Source organism: Homo sapiens, chromosome 3 (assembly GCF_000001405.40).
Source record: "Homo sapiens chromosome 3, GRCh38.p14 Primary Assembly".
NCBI classification, from domain to species: Eukaryota; Metazoa; Chordata; class Mammalia; order Primates; family Hominidae; genus Homo; species Homo sapiens.
In genome coordinates this window covers 78,322,000-78,328,852 of record NC_000003.12, presented here as the reverse complement: position 1 = coordinate 78,328,852, position 6,853 = coordinate 78,322,000, and the positions used below count along the sequence as shown (strand labels likewise).

General features: G+C 44.3%; 1 annotated feature.

Moving 5' to 3' along the window:
• Nucleotides 5,350-6,140: an enhancer, noted in NCBI's record as "OCT4-NANOG hESC enhancer chr3:78371863-78372653 (GRCh37/hg19 assembly coordinates)". NCBI's record gives its function as "activates a minimal SCP1, AML or CMV promoter by ChIP-STARR-seq in primed H9 embryonic stem cells {active_cell/tissue: H9 hESC(primed)}" and the evidence as "EXISTENCE:reporter gene assay evidence [ECO:0000049][PMID:30033119]".

The following is a 6,853-nucleotide window of genomic DNA, read 5'->3' as shown; positions in this document are numbered from 1 at the left end:
GGCCAAGTGCAGTGGCTCATGCCTGTAATCTCAGCACTTTGGGAGGCCAAGGTGGGAGGATCACAAGGTCAGGAGTTCGAGTGCAGCCTGACCAACATGGTGAAACACCGTCTCTACTAAAAAAAATACAAAAATTAGCCAGGCGTGGTGGTGCGTGCCTGTAATCCCAGCTACTCATGAGGCTGAGGGAGGAGAATCGCTTGAAACCTGGGAGGCGGAGCTTGCACAGTGAGCCGAGATCGTGCCACTGCACTTCAGCCTGGGCGACAGAGCAAGACTGTCTCAAAAAAAAAAAAAAAAAAAAAAAAGCCCCATTTTATATAATATTTTAGCTAGGCAGTTTTCAAACTTCTTTGCCTCCTGATCTCTTTACACTCTTAAAAAAAATATTTAGCAGACTATAGGAGAACAGAATATGCTACCTCAAAATATGACTGTAGGAGACCAGAGTACGCCACATTAAAATATGCCTCTTTTGGCTTAAGAATTAAAGTTGATTATTTTGAGAAACTTCAGACAAAGGAAAAGCTCTGAAAACGGAGTAGAATTTTTTTTATAAGGAAATCTAAATCTATGAAGGAAGTATCCATTTGTAAGAGTATCTCCTAAAGAGAAAGATGGTTGTAAATCACAAGAAAATTTTGTTAATGGCTAAGGCGCTGACTTAAATCTGCATAACAAACTTCACTTTTTTTAAACTGTGCTTTTCTAGGTCATCTCCCCATTACTGGTTTCCTCTTTCTGTTCCAGCTGAAGATAGTATTTAAGCCTGAAGTCTAAACCACCTTTTGGAGATTTACTCATTTCTTTGGGTATCTCCTATGTATATACAGGAGGTATGCATGTTAATACATTTCTGTTTGTTTTTCTTTTGTTCATCTGTCTTTTGTTACAGGCAGTTCAGATAAGAACTCAGAGAGGGAAGAGAGAAAACTTTCTCCGCTACAGCTCTGGTGACTGTGACAGAAAGTCAGAACTGTATATTTCCTCCTCTACAACCCTATAGAGCTTACATATATATAGATTATATTAATCAATATTCACTCTCTTAAAAATTAAAATTGGAAACCGCCATCAATAAATCAAGTGTGATCAGGGTGAGGAACAGGAAAGAAGGAGATTTGGGGAAATGAGATGAATGTCAGGTGGATCAGAGAGATACAGTCATGGGGGTCAGGTGTGGTATCAGGAATAATGTGGGAGGCCGGATTGAAGTCCGGGCCAGGAACAATGGTAATTGTGGGAGACTCAGCAAAGAGTGAGTACAGCTGAAGGAGCCGGGGAGCAGAAAGTGTATGCGTCAGGTATGAGGAAGAAAATAGATTTTGGAAGTTATGAGAACTGTAGAGAGTGAGTTTGTGATTTTGAGGGCCTCTAAAAGTATTAAAGCAGTGGCAGCCACTGCACGCAGACGTGAGGGCTAGGCTAAAACAGTAAGGTCAAGTTGTTTGCACAGAAAGACTACAGGGTGCAGTCCTGGCTCTTGTGTAAGAATTCTGACCACACTAACTATGCCTAGGAAGGAAAGTTGTTGTTTTGTAAGGGATTGAGGTTTGGGAGATTAATCGGACATGATCAGCAGGGAAAGCAAGTATGTTTTTATGAGAATTATGCCGAGATAGGTAACAGATGAGGATGAAATTTGGGCTTGACTGAAGTAATGGGGGCTGTCTATGAAGCCTTGCGGCAGTACAGCCTAGGTAATTTGCTGAGCCTAATGGGTGTCAGGGTCAGTCTAAGTGAAAGCAAAGAGAGGCTGGGACGAGGGGTGCAGGGGAATAGTGAAGAAAGCATCTTTAAGATCGAGAACGGAATAGTGAGTTGTGGAGAAAGGTATTGAGGACAAAAGAGTGTACGGGTTGGGCACCACAGGGTGGATAGGCAAAACGATTTGGTTGATAAGGTGCAGATCCTGAACTAACTTGTAAGGCTTGTCTGGTTTTAGGACAGGTAAATGGGGGAATTGTAAGGAGAGTTTATAGGCTTTAAAAGGCCATGCTGTAGCAGGTGAGTGATAACAGGCTTTAATCTTTTTAAAGCATGCTGCAGGATGGGATATTGGCATTGAGTGGGGTAAGGGTGATTAGGTTTTAATGAGATGGTAAGGGGTGTGTGATTGGTCGCCAAGGAGGGAGTAGAGGTATCTTATACTTGTGAGTTAAGGTGGGGAGATACAAGAGGAGGACGCAAAGGAGGCTTTGGATTGGGAAGAAAGGTGGCAATGAGATATAGCTGTAGTCCAGGAATACTCAGGGAAGCAGATAATTTAGTTAAAGTGTCTCAGCCTAATAAGGGAACTGGGCAGGTGGGGATAACTAAAAGGAGTGCTTAAAGAAGTATTGTCTAAGTTGGCACCAGAGTTGGGGAGTTTTAAGAGGTTTAGAAGCCTGGCCGTCAATACCCACAACAGTTATGGAGGCAAGGGAAATAGGCCCTTGAAAAGAAGGTAATGTGGAGTGGGTAGCCTCCGTATTGATTAAGAAGGGGACGGGCTTACCTTCCACTGTGAGAGTTACCTGAAGCTCAGCATCTGTGATGGTCTAGGGGGCTTCCGAGGCGATCGGGCAGTGTCAGTCTTCAGCCGCTAAGCCGAGAAGATCTGGGAAGGAGTCAGTCAGAGAGCCTTGGGCCAGAGTTCCAGGGGCTCTGGGAGTGGCTGCCAGGTGAGTTGAACAGTCCGATTTCAGTGGGGTCCCACACAGATGGGACGCAGCTTAGGAGGAATCCCGGGCTGCAGGGCATTCCTTGGCCCAGTGGCCAGATTTCCGGCACGTGTAGCAAGCTCCTGGGGGAGGAAGTTCTGGAGGAATGCCTGGCCGCTGCGGTTCAGGCGTTTGGAAGTTCTTGTGTGCTGGAGATGTGGCTGGGGTTTGTCTCGCAGTGGAGGCAAGGAATTGCAACTTTTTTCTGTTATTGTACACCTTGAAGGTGAGGTTAATTAAGTCCTGTTGTGGGGTTTGAGGGCCAGATTCCAATTTTGGGTCTAGGGCTGTAAAGTGTCTCAGGGTTGCTGCCAAACAAGTCATGAACTGGGCTGGATTTTTATATTTGATGAAAAAGAGCCTAAACGCTGTCTGATTTGGGATAAAGAAAAAGGAGCATTAACCTTGACTATGCCTTTAGCTCCAGCCACCTTTTTAAGAGTAAATTGCTGGGCAGGAGGGGGAGGGCTAGTCATGGAACAAAACTGTAAGCCGGACCAGGTGTGAGGAGGGGAGGTGATAAAAAGATTATAGGGTGGAGGAGCAGAGGCTGAGGAAGAATTGGGACCTAGCTTGGCCTGGCGAGGAGCAGCCTGGGGAGTAAGGGAGAGGTCAGATGGGTCTGCAGAAAAGGAAGATTAGAAAGACTCAGCGATGCTTGGGGTTGGTACTGAGGAGACAGGCGGGAGGGAAAGAAGGAAGATTTGGGACGAGTTGCACTGGGCACAGAGACTAGGAAGGGACTGATGTGTAAAAGAATGCCTGGACATCAGGCACCTCAGACCATTTGCCTATTTTATGACAAGAATTATTTAGATCTTGCAGGATGGAAAAATTCAAAGTGCCATTTTCTGGCTATTTGGAACTACTGTCAAGTTTGTATTGGGGTCAAGCAGCATTGCAGAAGAAAATAAGGCAGTTAGGTTTTAGGTCAGGTGTGAGTTGAAGAGGCTTTAAGTTTTTGAGAACACAGGCCAAGGGAGTAGAAGGAGGAATGGAGGGTGCAAGTTTGCCTATAGTGAAGGAAGCAAGCCTAGAGAAAAGAGAGAGTAGAGAAAGGAGGGAAGGGGTTTGGGGGTTCTTACCTTCCAGAAAAGTGGGAAAAGGGTTTGGGGCACAAAGAGGTCAGGGCACGGAAATAAGGGATGGGGCACAGAAATAAGAGGTCGGGGTGTGGAAATAAGGGATTGGGGCACAGAGATATAAGAGGTTGGGGCATGGAAATACGGGATTGGTCACAGAAATAAGAGGTCAGGGCATGGAAATAAGGGATGGGGAACAGAAATAAGGGGTCGGGGTGCAGAAATAAGGGGTTGCGTCATGGAAATAAGGGGTAGGAGCACAGAAATAAGGGGTCAGGGCATGGAAATAAGGGATTGGGGCACAGAGATATGAGGTTGGGGTGTGGAAATAAGGGATTGGGGTGCAGAGATACAAGGTAGGGGTACTTGCCCCTCCTCTAGAAAAGCAGGACTTGCAGCTAAGAGTGAAGGAGAAGGGGTTGAGGGGTACTTGCCCCTCCCCCAGAAAAGCAGAGAAGGGGTAGAGACAAGGAGAGAAGGGGTTGGGGTACTTGCCCCTTTCCCAGAAAAGCGGGACTTGCCGCTAAGGGTGAAGGACCAAGGCAGGCATCCCTGCGTGGTCTGACACCTTTGAACCATGGGTGAATAATCAGAGAGGCGTCCCTGCAATGATTAAACACCAAGGGAAGGCTGCCTTCCCAGTCCGTGACTGGCACCAGAGTTTTGGGTCCACGGATAAAACGTGTCTCCTTTGTCTCTCCCAGAAAATGAAAGGATTTGAAATTAAGAGAAGGGAGAGATTGAAGAGTGGAAAGGAGAAAGTGGTTGAGGGACAGTGAGAGAGGTTGGAGAAGAGAGTAAGAAGAGGCCGCTTACCTGATTTAAAATTGGTGAGATGTTCCTAGGGCTGGTCGGTCTGAGGACCTGAGGTCGTAGGTGGATCTTTCTCATGGAGCATAGAACAGGAGGACAGGGGATTGATCTCCCAAGGGAGGTCCCCCGATCCGAGTCACGGCACCAAATTTCATGCACGTCCGTGTGACGAGACCACCAAACAGGCTTTGTGTGAGCAACATGGCTGTTTATTTCACCTGGGTGCAGGCGGGCTGAGTCCGAAAAGAGAGTCAGCGAAGGGAGATAAGGGTGGGGCCGTTTTATAGGATTTGGGTAGGTAAAGGAAAATTACAGTCAAAGGGGGTTTGTTCTCTGGCGGGCAGGAGTGGGGGTCGCAAGGTGCTCAGTGGGGGAGCTTTTTGAGCCAGGATGAGCCAGGAAAAGGACTTTCACAAGGTCATGTCATCAGTTAAGGCAAGGACTGGCCTTTTTCACTTCTTTTGTGGTGGAATGTCATCAGTTAAGGTGGGGCAGGGCATATTCACTTCTTTTGTAATTCTTCAGTTACTTCATGCCATCTGGGCGTATACGTGCAAGTCACAGGGGATGTGATGGCTTGGCTTGGGCTCAGAGGCCTGACAGTGATGGTGGCTTCTTCAAAGGGGAATGGGAATCTTGGAATTAAAAATGTAGATGGAGAAAGCTGGTGTTTTATGGGTGTGGGGCTGTGCTTATGAAGACTGTTAATTCTTTAGCCTAAGTAAATGTACAGCACCTTGACTTTTCAGGTTCAGAATTAGGAAACAAAGCAGCCTATGCTCTAGAAGTCTCTAGACTTAGAGTTTTCTGATGTATCCTACAATCGGTTTCTCTGAATTAGTTATTTGTAAATTGCAAAGTGAGAGTATCTCTCAGAAAGAAATATTCATAGGGCAGTGACCTATTATTAACCACTGGTAGCCAAACTCTAAAGTTAAAACCAGCAAATCAATAAATCTTTGTTTCATAAATGAATGAATATTAAACATAATGGTCTATCCATGTTCTCCTGTGAAGGAGAGTAACTGTGATTTAACCTCTCCAGCCAACCCAACTGCTGAGTATAAAATTTGTCAATTAGAGGGTTGTTTGAACCTGCTGTGTGCTAAACCACACCTCCCCTTTACTCTGAAAGGCTTCACAAAAGTTGGTGACCCCAGGATAATTAACAATTCTGTTGACACCTAATTGGTTTCAAGTGGTTTGCATACACCTAGAGAGCGTGAATAGGCTACCCCTTTCTTTCCTTTTAAAATACAGGTTTCACTCACATTATACAGTTACATAATAAAAGCGAAAATGAATAAAGAGAGAATGACACCCTCTCCCCTCCCTGGCTGAAAATGTCAATGGTGGCAACTGTTAGACTTTAGCATCTGAAACTCTGGATTGAGTCATTTATGAGGAGGATGTATGTATGTGTGTCTGTGTGTGGAATATGCATGTGTTAGTGTTGTCTTTGAGATGATAAGCCACACTGCTAGGGACTGTATTTTTTCTCAATCTTGTAAATATTGCCAGGGGCTAACAAACAATGAACAAACAAAAAATACAACACAATGTTTTAAATCTATAACAAAAAAACATCATATTGACATAAAGAAAAAGATCTGTAGGAAGAGAAATCATTTACCAATAAAAATTCTATTAGAAGGATAAGAATATCCCTTAGGAGAAGAGTTTGATTTCTGCTTTGAAAGTAAAACAAAAGTTATCCTATGAAAATTATTATTAAGAATTAAGTATTCTATCCCTATTTGTTACATCTGAAAAACAGAATTTGTTTTTTGTGAAGCGTCATGTTTGTGAGCTAAAATAATTCCCATACTTGTAGGCAGTCAATTTTGTTGTCATCTTTTTCATACCCAACATAAGCACAAAGAATGCTGGTGTTGGAAGGGAGTCCTTGAGCCCACCTAGACTGATTCTTTCATTTTTACACATAGTGTATTGGTTGTATTGAGACTCAGGACACACCAACTAAAAATATACCTCTTTTGCATATTATTTTGAGTTGGTTATTTTGAGAAACTGTAGATACAGAAGTATCTGTGAGACGTTGCCCATCTGTAAGAGAAATTTATATCTATAAAGGAAATATCCTTTTGTAAGGGTGTCTGCCTCTGCTTCAGGAATAAATGACTAAATCACTAGAGACTTAATGAATGGACCCTCAATCACGGACTTAAAACTTGCATAACAGGCCAGGCATGGTGGCTCATGCCTGTAATCCCAGCACTTTGGGAGGCCAAGGCG